We start from the raw sequence: 19809 nt of genomic DNA on the forward strand, positions 1-19809 counted from the left end.
CTAGAAGCATAAATGACTGTGATTTGTCAAGATCTTAACAATGTCCATTGAAAATCTAGTGCTTGGGAGGTAAAGAAGCAGTAAGATAGCTAATGTGCATTTGACTTCATCATCAACCCGACAGCCTTTTTAGGACAAAAATTGTGGAATGCCGGAGAGGACACACTAGATTCCAGACAGAAGTGTTGGGGAAGATGTTTATTTTTCTTCCCTTTAAATGTTAAGGTACGGCAAACTTCAAGTTCCTTTGTGAAAAGGGCTGAAATGTGAGGAATCAATAATTAAAACATACATGGCTGGCAGGTCAGAGATGGCCCCAATAGACCTTAACCATCAAAGATACCACCTTGATTCTTGATTAGACAAGGCAATCAGACAGGCCTAATTAAAACTAACACCTTTACAATTGCTGTGCTGTGAAGGGATTAATTTGTCAATTATTTTTAAGATGATTGCAGTTCATATCACAGAAGTAGACAGTTTTCTTCATCCTTTAGATAAATAAATGATTAACCTAAGAACCACAACTTTTAGGTAGCTTTATTTAAAATCTTTATTGAACACTTGAGCATTTTCAAATACATCAATATTTCATTTATACCGAGTAAGCTAGTCTGAAAAAAGGGACTTGTGATACACATTTTTGAGCACACTTCTTGATGTCCATTATTGGAAAAGATCAGGACCACTAGGAAAAACCTGAAACAACATCAAACCCTTGCTGTTTGCTTTGAAAGCCTGCTTAGAAGTATGATGATCATGAAATTCAGCTATCTGCACTTTTCTGAAATAGCATGATGTTTTCTAAGTGATCTAGAAAACTATGTTATCTGTTAATTCTTTTTACATTATTGAGAGTTGATATTTCAACATTGTGTTGATGATACTAAATCTTTGCCAGAGCATTTCTCTACTTAAGACTTGCTTGCGTTTAAGTGAACTTTTATTCCAAATTTAACCAAGCCACATAACTAATTCCTTTTGTGATAAAGCTATGATTTATAACGTTTTATTTTCAAAAGCTAAAACAATTTTGAATAAAAAAAGGAAAACTGATACACATATCGGAGTTGAAATATGAACTGATGAATTTAATATAATTTAAATGCGTGCTCTAAGTCTAGAGTTCAGACAGCTTATAACAGTACATTTAGGAGTCATGTATCATCTGGCCTTGCCTATTCCTCTAGCATATTTTTGATACTATCCAGCCACTTGGCCTAGTTTCAGTTTATTAAGTTGTTCAAGTTCCTTCTGGTCTTGGGATCTTTACACATCCCTGGAATACTTTTTGCCCCACTTATCCATTATGACCCCTTTCACATGCCTACTTCCTACTCATCTTTGAGTTCTTAGCTTCAATGTCATTTTCCCAGCAAATTTGGATCACTGCCTTATCTCTGCTCCCCTCACTAAGTTACATAAGTATTCCAGATCATTCACTCTTTCAATACTCCCTACTTTTCCCCCATAGTACTTATTATTGTACTAAGTTTATGATTGCTTAGTTTAATGTCTATTTCTCTTGCTCCAATCTAAGATCTATAAGAACTATCATGAGCCAGGAATAGTTATTAGTGAGTGAATGCTAAAACAAATACAAACTACAAATAAAAAATAGAAATCCAAGAATAAGGCAAAGCCAGACACTAACATACTAATCAAGAAGACTAATGATTTCTTGAGGAACTCACATTCAGCTCAAGAATCTCCTTCTTCAGGGAAGCCCTCCCTAAGCAACCCAACCCAGAAGGTTGAGTTAGGCACCCCTTCCCAGTGCACCATGGCAGGCACCCTGCAAGGTATGTCCGCTCTTTGAGCACTCTCACACTGTACTACAATTATCTGTCCACTTGCCTATCTCTTCCACCTGAATAAAAGCCTATGGAGATTAAAGATTGCCTTTTATCTTTGGGCTGTTCAAAATAGAGAACCAAGGCATGTTACTTCTTTAAGACTTGGTTTTTCTAAACTGTAAAGACAGGATAAAAGTACATATCATAGGACTGTTATAGCGATTAAATATAATAATATGCCTCGCACTGTGACTGATATAAAAAGCCCACCATACAGTAGCTCTCACTATTGAAGGAGACACTCAGTAAATGGTCACTGAATGCAAGAGTTAATTCATGATCTCTTAGGGCCACCAATTCTCTATAGCATTAATCAATATTGTTCCACCTCTAAGTTATCTCATAAAATAAACCTTGTTAACATTAGTTGTAATGTTTAAAATAAATTAATCACCAAGCAAGGAATAACTTTTAGAATGTTCTCCATGTACAAGAAGAATCTATTTTTTCTTAATGGTTTCTTGAGCAGATTCCAGAACTCTCCTTAATAACATAGTCCAGGTTTTAAGTAACTACTTTGGCATGGTTTGGATATTTGTCCCCTTCCCATCTCATGTTGAAATGTGATCCCCAATGTTGGAGGTAAGGCCTGGTGGGAGGTGTTTGGTTCATGGGGGTCTGCCCATCATGGCTTGGTGCTGTCTTCGAGATAGTGGGGGAGTTCTCTCGAGATCTGGTTGTTTAAAAGTGTGTGTGGCACCTCCCCCAACTCTCTCTCTTGCTCCCAGCCTCACCATGTGACATGCTTGCTCCCCTTCGCCTTCCACCATGACTGGAAGTTTCCTGAGGCCCTCACCAGAAGCAGATGCCAACACTGCACTTCCTGTACACCTGCAGAACCATGAGCCAATTAAACCCCTTTTCTTTATGAATTACCCAGTTTCAGCTATTCCTTTATAGTAATACAAACAGACTAATACATCACTGCCAGGAAATTTTTCCTTTTTTTTAACAGATGTTCCCCATGCTGCAGTTAGATGACTTGCCTTCCTTCTGCCATAAACAAACAAAAGCATGCAGGTTTCACTAAGAGATGAAGTCATTTCGTCAGAGAGGAACCTTGGAAAATCTGCATCACATTGCAAAGAAGTAAATGTAGTCCAAGCCACTTGGCATTCAAGGAAGTACTAACTAAAAATAAATGAGAAAAGAATGGAGCAGAGAAAACATTCAAAACCACTGTTAACGATATGAACTCTTTTCTATGGTACATCTTTTCCAATTTATACACAGGTTTGTACAGAGTTTTGTACCTAGGGTTGACAGGCAATTTGTTTTGGAGGGCCAATTAATTTAAAAATAGAAAATATCTCTATGTGATAACTGTTTTCCAGGAAAAGGCACATAATTCACCTTAAGCAAACTGGATACATGAAGATATGGATTTATGAAGTATACAAATTAGAAAATAATTGTTCACTTTAGTAAATAATTTCATGGTAGGGTTAATTTATTTTGCCAGCTCCCCCAAGTGTATTTTATATATCCTTTGATTTCCCAAAATGCAATTTACCTATTTTGGCGGCACAAAGTAAAATACATCTGTAGTTGAGAATACAGATGATGATGTGTTTGTTCTCTGGCTTTCATAGGTTTGGGGTAAGAATAGACAATAATTTGACTTTGTGTAACTGTATGAAAAATGGCACCAGTAATCCTCTGTGCATATAATGTATCTTCTAAGCAATCCTTTTGCTAACTGTACTCTGTAAATTCTAGGAAACAAAGCAGTGGGGAAAATGCAAATATTTCATTTTAGAGCTCTGTTGCGTAGAAGTTATTCAGGGGAAATTCATGGGCTCCTACTTAGGGAGGGTTATTTTACTTATAATCTCTCCTGGCAATAGTGTGACAAATATTATACTACAGTTATGTTCATTTACTCCACAGAAGTACAAATTATGCTCACCTTTTCTTTGTATGGACTCCATAAGTGCTTTGGTGCCATAGAGGATTCAGCGTAAGACACCAGCAGAGCCCAAATCCTTTTACATCGTTATGCCTACATGCACATTCCTGCAGATATTTTGTCATGCACAACTCCACTTGCTAGAATGAAAAGAACCTCTCTCTGTTCCAACTCATAAAATATATGTAATATAAAAAGGGAACATTAAAGATGAAGTTTTTTTTTTTTAATTTCCCCATGATCCCTGGTTTTCTGTATTCAATTTCTTTTCCTCTTGCTGAAAACTATCAATGGCAACTCCTATATGACACATGAGATTTAAAAAATGCAATGTATCTTCTTAAAGAAATATGCCGCACTGTCATTGGAAGAAATTACTGTGATTAAAGGGGGAAAAACCATGTGCCACAAATTTTTTTTTAATATAAGAAAGACTGGATTTTATACTTCTCTCCAAATGCTGCATAACCATAATTTACATTTTCAAAATTGTTGTAACTCTTTTTAAGGTGGTAGCAATTTGTCTGATATTTTAATCTATTTTGAGTTAACATCTATTAGCACTTTGTGAAAATGTGAGGCAAATTGCTATGCTAATGAAGGTAAATCACACCACAGTTTCATGATATGGCTGCCGCTCTTAACGGAAGGGTGAGGAGAGAAACTTCAGAGTTACAGAGAGTCGGTGTAACAAATTTATCTAGGCCATTACAGTCCCTTTATTAATTTCCGCAGAAAGTTCCAGATAAGTGTAAACCCAGGCCTGACTTATCTCCTCAATGATACCTACTGTTCAATAAAAGTAATTTCTGATAAAATTTGCAGAAGAAGCCATTTACATTAAATGATGGTTACTTCCTTTTTGACTCAGGTTTTAAGAGAAGACATATTTATGATGGGGGAAAATATTTGACATCTGAGTATATTAAAATCACATTTAAAACTAAACCACTTAAAGTTCCTGACAACAAGGAGAATTTCAGTCATCTCTTTGTTGTTAGTCCTATAGGCACTGTCTGGTATATTCTTGCCCATTAGAATACAGGCTCTATGAGACAGATATTCTTGCTGGTTTTGTTCACTGTCAAATCCCTAGCACATAGTATATACTCAATAAATATGTGCTGGCTAAATTCATATAGGGATTGTTCAATGAATATTTATTGAGTACATTAAAAAAAGCACCAAATAGTACTGTACCAGAAATTGTAGAGATAAGCTCACCTTGCTCCCAGACTGCTCAGCTAGAGTGGTAGCAGTCTCTAAAGTCCTGATAATATGGCAGCCCCAAACTCCTTTAATCCTCTGAAGTTCATACCCATGGTGATTCTTTGGGCTATTGTCTTTTCCATCTGACATCACCAGATACCTCTTTCTGGATACATCTTCCCTAGAGTTTCTAATAATTTTGCACAGGAGACCAAAGCAGCTCATGATGGTAGTTTAACAAGTTTTGCTGGGTCATGTGGCTGTCAGGGAGTACTTGGAAAATAACTAAGCTACACTTTGGATAACCTGATGGCAACCCTCCATACTGGAGATCATTCTTAAACCAAGTGTGTAGACTAAAAGGCATGCTAATGATCCTGGACGTGAGTCGGTTTCCAAAACTTGGCAAAACCCCACACAGTTCAGAGGATTTGACTCTGGTGTTTACAGCATCAGCAGCCTGCTCAGGATGGCAGGCCCAGGAGGGCAGACCATTTGGAAATTTTGTGACATTTAAGCTCCCTTTTAATGTCATAGTTATCTGATGGCAAAGAATAAATTGTGGACAGGTCTCCTGACTCAAAGCAATGCCATTCCTATCTTCTGATTTCTTGGGCTTTGGGAGTTGGTATGCCTTCACCCCTATGTGGTGGCAAGTGGGAATGTGAAGGTCTATCTTTTTTTGGTTGGTTCTGCTGTCATGGTAGTGTTTAGTATCTGGTGCCTCAGGAGCATGCAATAAATGGCAATCTCAGATAAGGAGAAATTCTGCCACCAAAACTGCTCCATGCTCCCACTGCTAAACACGTAGTATTAGGCTTTCGTGTGTTAAGAGACAATCAAACGCTTCTCTTCAGCATGGTTTATTTTGGCAAAATACTTGAAAACAATTTGTTAATATTTTACTCAAATAACCAAGGCAAAATAAAAGTATGTCTCTGTTCAGGTAAGGACGGGGAAGACAGGAAAGGAATAATATTCAGTGAACATCTATTATTTCCCAGACATCTAAGCATGAATACCCCTACTCAGATGGAATTCCTATTTCACACAGCTAGCAAATGGTAGCTAGAATTTGAATTCAGGACCCCAGCACACAGTGCTCTTTGCACTGTACCACATTGCCTGGCCCCTTAGGTAAGATGGTGTGGTGTGGAAAGTGTCAGACTGGGGCCTGGCTGATCTCCTGCCCTGTAAAATGTTTACTGACATTCGTTTTTTTACTGAACATAAAAGAGATTGCAGTTTGCATATAAATACATTTCAAAGTCCTTGATAATGTTTTCAAAATGGGTGCTCTAAATGTAAATTATAATGGATCTCACTTGGCCTGCAGAACAGTCTGTTGTGGAGCTGTGGGTTGCATGAGACTTTGAAGCATGATGGAAATGCGATGAAGCTGCAGGCCTGACCACGGGCCTTTGGATAGGCCATCCGTGACTACGCCAGAAAGGGGCACTGCTTCCTTTCCCGTCTCTCACCCATAAAAACACTTTCCCTTGTTACGGAGGTAGGATGGCCTGCAAGCCAGATATGGTCCCTGCCCTCTTGTAGCTTATAACCTAGCAGGGGAGGAACAATGACACCACCAACAGCGAAGCCCAAGAAGTGCTTTCTAGGGAAGTGCAGGTTGCTGCAGAAGGAAGCCTGCAGTAGGCACCTGACCTGTTCCTTGAGGGCTGGAAAGGGCTTTCCAAATGAAGTGATATTTCAGTGGACTTCTGAAGGACAAAGAGGTGTCAGCCTGTGTACCACATGCACAAAATATGCACATATTTTTCAGAGAAGAAAGGAAACCAGCTCATGAGCTAGAATAAAACAACTCATCATTTGTAAGCTATGCAATGTTTCTCCCACCCCATCCAACAAACTCAAGTGTATACCTGCAGTAAGTTCTTGTGTGAAATAGCTCTGCTTTGAGAAAGAGAGGGGTGAAGAAGATGGACCCCTTTATTTGCAGGTGGGAAAAGTAAAGTGCCCACAGTATATCTGTGAAGGCATCACAAATAGCACACTCAGCGCCTGCCTCCTAATTCAGGGCTTGGGACTTCACACTGGTCTGTCACTCTTCACAGACTCCCTGGGCAATGTCAATGACTGCTAACAGCCCCAGAGGCTGACTCCTGGTGGCCCAGAGGCAGAGTGTTGTCTCTGGGACAATACGCCTCTGGAGCCTGCTTCTCTCCGCGTTTCTTGGCTCTCTGGGAAACTGTAGCAGATATCCATGGAACCTGGTATTCACCAGGTGCCAGCAAAAGTCATCGTGAACAATGCATATTCAAACGGACCTTAATGTGCTTTCAGCTGGTACCCACAGACTCTAAGATGGGCACATATTAAAAAGGATGAAATCAGGGTAATGTGAATTTTAGTAACACCCCAAATTTGCATGTAAATGAGGTGAGTCATCTAAGTGCAGTTTAAAATATTTTAAATAGGACACTAAGAAAAGAAAAAAAGAGCAGATGATATATTGATTTTTCCAGGATCCTGCACAGCTGACAACATGTGCCTGCTCTCTGCTGGCCTGTGTAGATTTTTATAATTCTATCTCTCTCCCTTTGCAGCAGGACTTCGCATGTCCCTGTTTGGGTGACATGCCACATTCTGCTGAGGTTTGCTGTGGTGAGAGCAGGGAACTAGGAATCCAGTGCCGCTTTTCAATCTCTCACCTCTTTCTCTTCAGTGGAGAGGCTAAACTTCCTACCTTAGCACTTGGATCCTTTGTTCTCTCGTGTGATCAGCTTCACATTCCCTTCCTTCCCTCTTCCTTTCTCAGACAAACCAAGGCCTTCTGCCATAAACCCTACAGTGACTCATACATAGCAAACTTATGATAAATGTTTACTGACATGGGATGAATTAAACTGTGTCTACAATGGCAAGCAAGATACAAACAAGAATAAAGTGGTTGTCAACCCAACTGCTCATTAGAATTACCTGAAGATCTTTTAAAAATCCCAATGCCCAGGCCATATCCTAGAGCAGTTATATCGGAGTCTTGGTGGAGAGGGAGCCAGGCATCAATATTTGTAAAGCTACCAGGAGAGTCCAAAACATAGATCAGGTGAGAACTACTGGTTTAAAGCCACCGACTGAAAAGCTCCTAGAAGGCACAGGTGATTTCTGTTCTTGGGGATCTGAAGGCAAGGTCTGAACTAAGCACCTGCCCACTTCCCATGACATGACACCTCTGAGCTAGAGGTTCTGGGGAAAAGGAACTGTTGCTACTATAGCTTATTAGCCCTTCTTTTTTCAAATATTCACCACTGTCTGAAACAAAATGTGTATTCTTTGAAAGTGGTAAAAATGGACTGGCTTCCTCTTCTTCAGCATCAAGTCTTAGATCTCTAATTAGGCAAAGCCAAAGGTGGCTTCCATCTGATCTTCCCAACAGCTAAGGGGAAGGAAAAAAAATTCTATCCCCAGTTCTCACATGGACCTAGTGCTTCCTCAGTGGAAAACCCATGATATGGAAGGAGAGGGTACTCACGATTAGGTATTTAATACCTTTTTTTTTTTTTTGAGATGGAGTCTTGCTGTCACCCAGGCTGGAGTGCAGCAGCTCCATCTCAGCTCACTGCAACCTCCGCCTCCTGGGTCCAAGTGATTCTCCTGCCTCAGCCTCCCAAGTAGCTGGGACTACAGGCGCGTGCCACCATGCTCAGCTACTTTTTTGTATTTTTAGTAGGGATGGGGTTTCACTGTATTAACCAGGATGGTCTCAATCTCCTGACCTCGTGATCTACCCGCCTCAGCCTCCCCAAAGTGCTGGGTTAATACAATTTTAAGATAAGAAATTTTAAGAAGAAAAGTTGACTATGTTACTGGAGCCTAAAAGCGACCTGCTAAATATGGGAATAAGCTGACCACAGAACATCCATACAACGCTTCATGCATGAACCTCATACCGGTAGCCTGGGGTCTTTAAGGATGCGTTTTTCATACAGAGGTAAGAAATATTACTCTTGGGCGGCAAAAAAAAAAAAAAAAAAAAAACCTCATCTAAAAATCTCAAAGTATACAGTAAGACAGATACTGAGAATGCAATGAACCTGACAGAGGCAGGCTCATAAATTCAGTCAACTTTGTCAAACGCAGTCATTCCATTTCAGAATCTGTAATGATTGGAAGTGCTATGCTCTGTCAATATCACAACAGGCCTGGCTTCATGCTGTCTCTTTTTCATGAAATGTGTGTTGCCTGTTAACACTAGCACTGCTTCTATTCACTTGAATTAGCACAGTGAGAAAGCAGCAAAGAACTTGGGAGGATGGGGATCACAGAAACGCCTGCAGTGTTAAGTGAGAATTGGGGCTTGCTAACCTGAAGCCTCTAATTAAAGATTAGTGTGACAGGAAGTCCAACAACCAGACTGTCAGAGAGAAAAATTAGTGACATTTTCATTCCCTGTATCACCAAGCTATCCTCCACTGAGAAAGATGTTTCCAGCCAAGTGCATGCAAGCTCCAGGTACACAACCATGTGTTGGCCGCTCTAAGGCCACAAACCACTGGCCATGGACTTGGCCATGCTCAAATCTATGCATATGCACGTGTGGTGCAGATGAGAACCAGAACATACATATGTGGGACACCAGGATGGAGAAAGTTGCTTGGGGGAGTCATCTGCAGTGCTACCAATGGTTCGGCAAATGATCAGCAATTTGAAAAAAAAAAAAAACAACAACAACTAGGCCCTAATAAGATAATTAATATAGTCACTAAGTAAGTGGTAAGTGCAATGTATTTATGGAACACATCTGGGTATTTCTAAATTAAACTCATGAAGTTAAGCTGAAAAACATAATTGAGGGGGAAAGCTCTCTGAACTAAAAGTCTGTTTTCTTTTGTGCATAATGGCTTTCTTGGTTTCAGTTATTACTTTCTTACATAAAGGATAAGGTAGTGGTAATCAGCAAGTGCACACTTGATGAAAAAAAATCTTTCTAAAATTGCCATTTCCATTATGCAGAATTTAGGAATTTGACCCGTTTCCTAAGACAAATTTATGATCAGCAAAAATTTATTCTGCATTAATGTGATCGGTAAATCCGTAGATTCAAAAACCTGAAAATAGGTGATATTCTTGGTTTTCAGAAGATGAACTGTACATAAATCAGGGCATTGCAGGGCTGGGCTCTGAAAGATGCCAAGTTCAACCATGCAGCAGATGCTGAGCTCATCTGAATGTCCTGATCCCCAGGGGCTTGCAGCTGCCGTCACAACCCCCCAGCTATATAGAATTCATATGAAATCCAAGGGGGGAAGCTTTCTTACTTATTTATTTTCCTCTGTCTAGGTACTTTTTACAATCCATTAAATTATTAAGAGGCAGTGGGATCTGACGGTTTTCAAATTTACTTTTAGCTGTATAATACTTTCACAAACCAAAACTGTAGATTTCAAATACATAAAGCAGTAAGAATGGGGCTGCTCTGGTTGAAGAGAATGCAGATGAGAAACACAATCCAATCTATCCATTCATCCAGCATGCAATACATATTTGTCTAGCAACTAGTATGTACCAGCCACTGTGGTAGGTCCTGGTAATATAACATAGAAGGAGAAACCCACAGATCTTATATTCTAGTAAGGAGAAGGAAAGAGACGAAGGTAGGAAGGGTAAAAATTCACCACCACAACAAGAGCTAACGTTTATTGCTTGCTTCATAGGAGGAACACTACACAGATTAATTCACTCAACTCTCTCAATGTGAGACAGATGCTATTATTTTCATTTTACAGATGAGGGAATGGCGGCACAGGGAGACGATGGCGAATGCAGAGATAGCAGCAAAGCTGGCAGTCTGGTGAAATGGAAGACAAGAGACAAACATTCTCTGGCAGGACGGAGTGGTTACCATATGGATGCTGCTGCCAAGAGATGGGGGAAGTGAGAAGAGAAAAATGGCCACAACATTTGGTGACACAGAGGCCACTGCTGACCTTGAAAAGAGCAGCATCAGTGGCATGGTGGGGATGGAAATAGATCATAACAGGTGGCAAGAAAGTAAGGAAAACTGTTCCTGGACAATCCTTTTCAGAAATTAAATAGAATGGCAAGAAGAGAGGCTTAGAGGACCACAGCTGAAAGCTGATGTAGGATCAAAGTGAGGCTCTTTGTTCAGAAGAAGCATAACCTTGGCTGTCATTTAAAAATAAATAATCAGCAATTTTACAGTACTGTAGCTGCCCATTTGCTTGTCCTCTCCCAAGAGGCTGCAGGCCCCATGGGGTAGGGAGTATATCTTGTTCACTGTTTTTTCTGACCTATCACCTATCACAGTGACTGGAATATAGTAAGCCACTCAATAGATATTTCTTGAAAAAATAAACTATTAATAAAATATATGATAAAAATTGGAGGCAGGAGAGGCTTAGTTTTTCTCTGAAAAATTCCTTGCAAACAGGAACAGGATTTTCTCTAGGCACAGCATGGTAGGCCCTGAAGACCTGCTGCTGCTGGATGGCCAGGCCTGGCATGTGGGCTGAGCCATTCCTTCTCCACCTGCAGTAGTCCCTCAGTCACCTGGTCACTGCAGGCTGGTCTTGTTGCTACTTGGTGAAGTCAGGTGATTAAGAGTTCTGGGATCTCATCTGAGCTCTGTTGAGGAATTGCTGCTACCTATTCTATTTTTAAATTCAAAAAATAATATGATCCTACAATCTAATTCTCTCATATAATTACTGAAACCAAATCAAAGCTCCAAGGAGATTATTTACTGCAAAGCAATGACGCTCCAGGGTGCCTTCAGGCAAACTTCAACACAGCAATCTATTCACCCTACAGTATTTGGGGAACAGTAGGCTCTCTCCTTCTCCCTTTTAAAAGCAAACAATTTCACTATCCATCAATCCCATAACAGAGGCCAGCAAAACATAAGCAGCTACTTGCAGCACGTTCCCTTAAAAGGTTCTACACAGATGTTGATTTTCCTGAAAAAACAAACCAAACAAATCTCAGCCTGGACATTGACTGGCTGTTTGACTTGGCAGGTCTTCACTCTCTGCTCAAAAGAAAGGACTGACTTCTACCGGTTCCAGGTTTCTTCTTTCTCTGCAAGTCTGGCTGTAATTTAGTGAGTCCTAATGATTAAAAAAAAAAAATTCTAACATTTTCAAGAATTGCTGCCTTAGTCTCAGGAGGCTAGTTTTTCTATGAAGATCTGAGCTTGTGAATTTATATTCATGGCTAGAATATTATGAACCTGTTGGACAGGTGATTAATATACCAGATACAAGATTCCAGAGCAGGTATGTATATGTGAATAAATATAATGATAATGCTAATAGTAGTTAACACTTATTGAGTGCTTATAGTGTGCCTGACTTCGGGCTAAGGGCTTTATCACAATATTTCATTTAATTTTGTAACAACCCTATGAGATAAATGTCATTATCATCCCCATTTTTCAGTTGGTGAATTTGAGGCTTTTAGAGATTAAGCTGCCCAAGGTCCCAGAGACAGTAAAATGATGGAGGTAGAATTTGAAAACCTAGCAACTTGACACTAGTGCTCAACCATTTCACCTCTTTTATAAAGTTCCACATCAGTGTTTCTTGGTTTCATATTTAAATACCGGAAAGGACTTTTAGTTACCACTTCTTAGAAGTTCAGGTGAACAGGGTTGGAAGAGGAGGAGATGGGAACACTTAACTAAAATGAGGTTGAAAGGTAACCTCTGAATTTCAGCTGATGTGTTTTTCCCTGTTTCAATTACCAGGAATAATCAGGAGAGGGTTGTAAAATGTGTTTTAAAGTGCTCCTATGTGAAAATCACCTGGAGAAACTGTTTCATCAGCAAAAGGAACAAGATGCTGATGCTTCAAGTGAAGGACTTAAGTTCAGATTTTAGAGCCCCAGCTGCACTCTCACCATTTCTCATTGCCCCTTTCTTTTGGGGCACATGTCATGTGGGCTGTCTGAGTAAGGGTTATGTCACCCACAACAGAGGACTGCACAGTCTGACACTCCTGCCTTATTTGGATAGAATGTTTTCTTTTCTTTCTTTCTCTCTCTCTCTCTTTTTTTTTTTTTACTTTATTTTCTTTGATATGGCATCAATTTTAAATCTTACATTTTGGCTATGGGCAACCTGGAAACAGCTGTGCAGACAAGGCAGGGAAGAGGAGAGTCCCTGCAGGTATATGCTTTGTTTCATGGCTGAATTGCTACCAAAACAGTCCTGGACACAGTGCCCTCAAATTATTTTTCTCTGAAACTGATTTTTCCAGTTAGTTCTGTACATTAGTTACAGAGTCCTATATTATTTTCCCCATAGGGCTTTCCTGCTCATGATTCCTAAACAAGCTGATAAAAACTCCATTTTCTCCACAGAAATATTTAGGTTGTTGAGGCTTTCTCTTACCATAATTACTTCCTGAAATATGCAGTGGTCAATTTTTCCTGAATATTTTTACATTAAATTGGGCACCCAAAACTTGGCCCTAGGTATTTTCAGGTGGTAAAGCAGACTCCTGGCTCGAAAGAGCTGATTGGTTTCTATTACTTGCTTTCTGTATTGGCTTCTTATGGATTTGATTTTAAAAAATCTCTCTCCCATTTAAAAATGTGGAACTCCATGTGAAAACCACGATTTCTTATGTCCTGTAGAATACAGCAACATTTACTAAAAGAAATCACTATTTCACTCCTCAACTAAGAACTTCAGGAATTGGGGCAGGTAAGGAGAAAGGTCTTGGCAATGTCAGTTTGATGAGAAATGAATTAATTCGATTATTTTCATGGTGTGGATCAATAGCAGTCGGCCTCCACAGAGGTCCCTGGCCTGAAGGCAGCTGGATAATCAATAGGCTCACACAGAGGCGGCTCTCCTCCCCAGCAGCCTCTCTCATCTTTTCTGGGCGGGCTCTTCACGCCTGTGTAATTCTAATTTATGTCAACTAGAAATCAAAGAAATTCCAAGAGGCTTTGGTCATAGGACATTAGGGTGGACCTTTCACAATCTATTTATGTCTGTTCCTTAAGTAACGTGGCCCTCACAGCCCTCCAGGCGCCTCTACTGGCCAAGAAGAAAAAACCTCCCAGGAGAAGGGTAGCCATCTGCTCCGGGCCATGGCAGAGGCGTGGGGTTAGGTAAACCGAGGCACACTTTCTCTTTCCCATCTATAACTATGCAGGGACATAAGAACCAAGCATTTTAAGCAAAATGCTTTGCCAAGAGTGGCTCCCTCAATAACGCTCTTTAATGATACCCCAGACGCTGGCATTTTCAAATCAAATGAACAGTGTATAAAATTAGTTCTGCATGAAGTTAAAAAAAAATAGAAAGTGAAAGGGAGCTTTTAAAAGCTCCAGCATTTCTCCATCCAACTGCTTTTCACAAGGGTTTGGCATTTGAGAATTGCTACGTTTATGATGTTATTCACTGCTCATAATTCAGGCCTGCATCTCCAAACTTCTGTATTAACACACACTGCAGAGGTTTCCACCACGACACTTTTATCACCGAGGCCTCGCAAACAGCCAGCCTGCCTCCAGTGAGGGCTGTTTTTTCCGCCAGTGCCAGGCCACAGTGCCTCCTCCCTTCTCATCAACCTTGTCACCCCAAACATTTTTCATTAACCTTGAACACTGCATTTCCATTTGCCCTACAGCTTTATCATGATTTTTTTTGGTCCTTTTTAGTTTTGTTCTCCATCCAAACTGCCTTATAAGAAAAAGAAAATATAATACAATTATAAGAAACAGATCTATAGAGAATCTAGAATTCACTGAAGTCACAAAAATAATTTCTACGACCAAAGCCGCTGTTTATAATTGCGGAAAACAGAGGGAACATACTGCTCTTATTAGAGTGTCCCGTTGATTACACAAGTATTTTTAAGTAAATCACCAGATAAATGTGAGTTAAGTTGATAGGTGATTTCGGGTCAACTCTAATTCCCAAGGTCAAGTAAGCCTTTGAACAGTCTTTAAGAATATAAGCTCACCCCAATTCATCAAAGCCGTCTCACACAGCGTTTTCTTCTCTTGGTTCTTACAATGCACTAAAGTTTAGGAGATTAAGTGGCGTCAGCTCCAAAACCCTCCAACATGCTTATCCATCCAGGAATCAGAAAAGCTACTCAAACAGGGGCTTCTTAATGCACTTCCTGACTTTACAACTGCCTGGGGAATGCTGCATTGTTGCACGACTGGAGGACTCCTCCCCAGGAATCACCAATGTTGCAGCCAAACATATTTACTGCAGTTTAGCTTAGCCCTTGTTTGACAATCCAAGTACATGTTGCTTTCATCTGCAACGAATACGTTTAACTTTTCCCATTTGTTCTCTGCTAACCTAACCAAGAGAGACGGCGGGTGGGGGTCGTGGGGGGAAACACTGTTTTCCTACAACAAATACAATGCATTTTGTTATTCTTACAATTCCTCAAAAGGTGAAATGAGGAAAAAAGCATCAGTTTGGTAAAGTATAGCCTCCAAATTAAATATAAGTGGCCCTCAATAAAACTGACTGTGAAAGAACATGCAACTAGAATGTTCTTTCTCAGAACCACAGGATCACGGAATGCCAGCGCAAGGACACACAGACTTCACAAACCACATCTCTCTCTAGTGCAGGGATCCTACTGACACCATTCCTGACCAAGGGGTTTGTTGAGTAGATGCTGAGGTTCCCTGCCTCCTCCACTGGCTCCACTGGTGTGCAGAAACAAGAGGAGAACTCTAATGGGTTTTCTTGGTGGTTAGCAGATTTGGTTAAGGTAGGGAGAAAAGTGACAGGGCCAAATTAATTTTGTTCTTTAATGCTTTGCTGGCACAGATGATCACAGACTGCCAGGAGATGGTGTATCTTCTTCTCCGTTCCCTAATCATAGTTTTTCTGTTTCCTGTCTCTATTCTTATTTTTCACTATTATTTTGTTACTTTCTGTTACCCTAAGTACTTGAACAGTCTTATCTTCAACTCACCCTTTTCTCCCACTGCAAATCTTTCTGCATCCCTGTGCTGGAGTAAGATGGTTAATAAATTCATACCAAATACTAAGTGTCCTACGGAGGCATTAGTTTTTCCATTGCAAAGTGTGTAGAAAGTGTAATTACTGACATATTTGTATAAAAAATAATCTTAATTTTAAATTTAGGTGAGGAAAAAGCACAAAGGCAAAGCATTCTCTAGTCTGAATTTATTTTTTTCCTTTCTTTTTAATTGTCTTTCAAAATGGGATAGTAGGCAATATAATTTTTTTTTCTCATTGGAAAATTCCAGTATCACAACACAGGTTAATATAATGATATGGATGATAAGACTAATCAGTAACAGAGCATTTTATATATAATAGACATTATTCTAAGTGCTTTATGTATGTTAACTCATTCACATGCTCACAATTCTACAAGATAGGTACTAGTATCATCCTCATTTTGCAAACGAGGGAACAGGCACTGAGAGGTTAGTAACTGCCCGCGGTGACACAACTAGTAAGTGCAAAGCCCAGATCTGAACCTGAACTCTGGCTCTCCGCAGACCATACCGTTGCTACTAATTTCTTTTCTTTGTTACTCATATCTTCCTTTGAATCTTGATGGTAACTTAAAATCTGGAGATGGATGGCATGATACAAAATCTGAAAACTGAATAGCTACTTTAGATTTCCATCCAACTAAACCAACAAGCAGGCTTTTCTGTGCAAGGCTTTACTTGTGCTTTGTGTGTGGTTTGGAACTGTCTTCCATCCTCACAGAGCCTCTCGTGTTTGGCTCTGAGCTGCTTTAAGTCTGAGGAAGCCAGACAGCAAGGCTGGGTCCAGCATCTCCCTGGGCTGCACTGCAGCAGGCTCTGACCAGACGGCGTCGTGCTGGAGCCAATGGGTTCTCAGAGTGGCTCTCTGGTTAGAGAAAGGATTCAGAGGCAGCCCAGGAAAAGGGCTAAAACCCTCAGGGATACAGCTAATCTGAATACTGTCTCTATTTAATTTTGGACTAATTTGCATTTGGGTAGAAAATAACCCATTTCTTAACTAAAAATCAGCAAAATGCTGGTCAGCAAATATGTCTGGAATAACATTCTCCTGTAGTAACTGTAACATACAACTTCTACAGTGTATCTCCGAAGATGGAGCTGATCTTAACCATCTAAAGATTACAGGTTAGAAATATGACAATTTCTGAGAATGGCTGCGGACACATATGTATGAATGTGTACATTTTGGTAGCTTTAGTTAGCATTCATGTGGCAGTTCCTTCTGCTGGAAGCTGAGGAGTTCTGCTGTCATTGATTCCTGTTTCTAGAGGACTATGCCTATGGTGGACCCTTTAACTTGTCTTAAAAGAAGTCATTTTAAAGTGGCAGGGTTAGCAGCGGCATTAGGTTGGTTAGTGGAAAGATTTGTGGGAGACTCGCAAGCCCCGGATCTCAGTGCTGTTGCTTAGTTACAAAGTAAGTCGCTTCTGGGCTGGGCTGAGAATATATAATAACATTTCTCTAAACATAACTAGCTGGCAAAGGTCTCGTATAAGTTGGGATTCTAAAGTGTTTGGAGAAAAGAATTAGCCAATTAACAAAAAATCACAAAGGACACAAGAGCTTTGGGCCATACTTCATTTGCCCCCACATTTGCTACATTTAGAAGATGCATGCCCTTTGAATGGCGTGTCTATTTAGTTTCACATTATTTTGCTAGATTTGTTCCTAATCACCATTTACAAAAGTAGCACACATGTGTAAATTAGTACAAGATGGCGGCACTTTCTGAGCAAGTATCTGAACTGGACCTTTTCCAAGGGAAGCAGTCCCCGTGGCCACAGACTGCCCCCTGGGTTGTGCCAGCAGCACTGGATACAGACTCCAAAGACCCGGCATGAAGTCTTGCCAGAGTATCCTGGGGCCACTGACTGGTCTTTCTGAGCCTCCATTTTCTCCCCTTCACAATGCAAATAACTATTTCTTAGACTTGTTATAGGTAAAACATGGAATAAACAAAGAAGAAAACACCTGTGGAGTGCCTGGTGTCCAGTATAGGTTTTTTTTGTTTGTTTGGGACACAGTCGTGCTCCGTCATCCAGGCTGAGGTGGTTGCGGCACAATCACGGCTCACTGCAACCTCGGCCTCTTGAGCTCAGGTGATCCTCCCACCTTAGCTTCCCGAGTAGCTGGGACTACAGGTGTGTGCCATTATGCCTGGCTAATTTTTTTTTGTTGGGGGAGAGGGGGATAGAGACAGGGTTTTCCCATGTTGTCCAGGCTGGTCTCAAATTCCTGGGCTCAAGTGATCCTTCTGCCTTGGCCTCCCAATGTGCTGGGATTACAGGTGTCAGTATAGATTTTTATTATCTGTTTTCTCAGTCTTCAAAGGGTCCCACGTTAAATGCTACACCATTTCCTAAACTCATGCTCACATCCCTGGCTGGTTCTACAGGCCTTCCACCAGGACCTCTGGAACCACTTCTTATCATGTGCTGGGAGTGGCATCTGATGTATGGGGAGATGCAAATTCCCACATACCCCCTTACTGGCCCTTTGTTGGTCCCGAATGGCCAGAATACATAGATGTTCAGTACCAAAATTACACACTTGTGAAAAACCAATTTGGCACTGTTCTTTCCACCTTTACTGTTGCTGGAAACTTGAAACCCAGAATACAATTTTACGGTTAGACCCTGCAAATTGCAGTTTGTCATGTAATCTTTTACATTTTGGTCCATGGACTTATGAATAGGATGCCAAACTCTAGTTGACTATGTATATGATTACTTTTTCTTTCTACTTAAGCACAAAATTCATTATTAAGTGGGGAAATACAAAGATAATCTCAGATTAGTTTACAAAAGCAGGCAAACAATGCATAGCTATAATTGCATATATACATATAAAATGTATATATAATATATAATACACGGGGGTGGAGATAGAGAAGGAGAGAGGATATGACATCAAGCTATTAACTATACTGATATGTAGAAAGCAAACAACTTGATAGTCAACTCTTACTTTATCACATCTCATCAGCCCCAAATATCTCAGAGACTTGCTGCTCTGTGCAATCAGGGTGGCTCCTTGGTCTGTGATTTCTTTACACCATCCGACATCCACAGTCTCTATTGTCATGCTGTATCGCCCAATGGCTATCAGTGCTGCAAGAAGGGACGCAGAGAAAGCATTAATGTTAGCAGTGTAAGGGAGCTCTATCTTATTATGACTATTCATCTCATTTCCTCACTAAATTTGTTCCTGAAATTTTGTGTGTAAATGAACGTTTTATAAACTAAACTAAATTTGAAATGCTTTAGGAAAGCTTCCCTATGACAAACCCATTTGCAAAGTGAATAATCATTCCATAATTTCCCTTTCATTGAACACAACCTTTTATCAGTTTTATTCATTACAAGGTTACCTGTACTTTCAAACATTCAGCTCTGCAGAAGGAATAAATTAAAATGTATTACAGATACAACATTTAAAAAAACCCAAGTACTAACTTAATTTTACCCAAGATAACTTTAATTTTTTTTTAAAGAAGAACCCACGTAAACACCATTTTGAGGAGTGTTATACTGCAAGTGAATGTCTTTACCAATTGGCATAATTTTTTCCATCTGTTCATGACCTGTAAAATGTAAAAGTATAAAATATTTTTCACATTAGCGCTTCTTGGGACTGTTAGGAATTAAGAGTACATCATACATACTGCTGATTTTAATTGGTGCCATGCTAGAGTGCAGTAAACAGAATGCATTTGTTATGGTGAATTTCCTCATCCTATCAGAAGTCTTCCTTCTATTAACATACAAAATGAAGCCTGTCGTCTGTAAACTATGAGAGTATCTGTAGTCTTCTCGGCTGTTTAGCATTGTACCACCACTAAAGTGC

At 40.1% G+C, this 19809-nt stretch overlaps 1 protein-coding gene across 2 annotated transcripts in view; it reads right to left on the reverse strand.

The window, feature by feature from the left end:
- FBXL17 (F-box and leucine rich repeat protein 17) overlaps positions 1-19809 on the reverse strand; it is a 523064-nt gene that overhangs the window by 3072 nt on the left and 500183 nt on the right. The window contains exon 8 of one of the 2 annotated variants that reach the window (NM_001163315.3): positions 18931-19073. In NM_001163315.3, coding sequence (NP_001156787.2) covers positions 18931-19073 — 143 coding nt within the window. Of the gene's footprint in view, positions 1-535; positions 19074-19809 lie in introns of those variants that run through there. The other variant, XM_005272048.5, reaches the window with a different exon arrangement.

This window comes from Homo sapiens, chromosome 5 (genome assembly GCF_000001405.40).
Source record: "Homo sapiens chromosome 5, GRCh38.p14 Primary Assembly".
In the NCBI taxonomy this organism is placed as follows: Eukaryota; Metazoa; Chordata; class Mammalia; order Primates; family Hominidae; genus Homo; species Homo sapiens.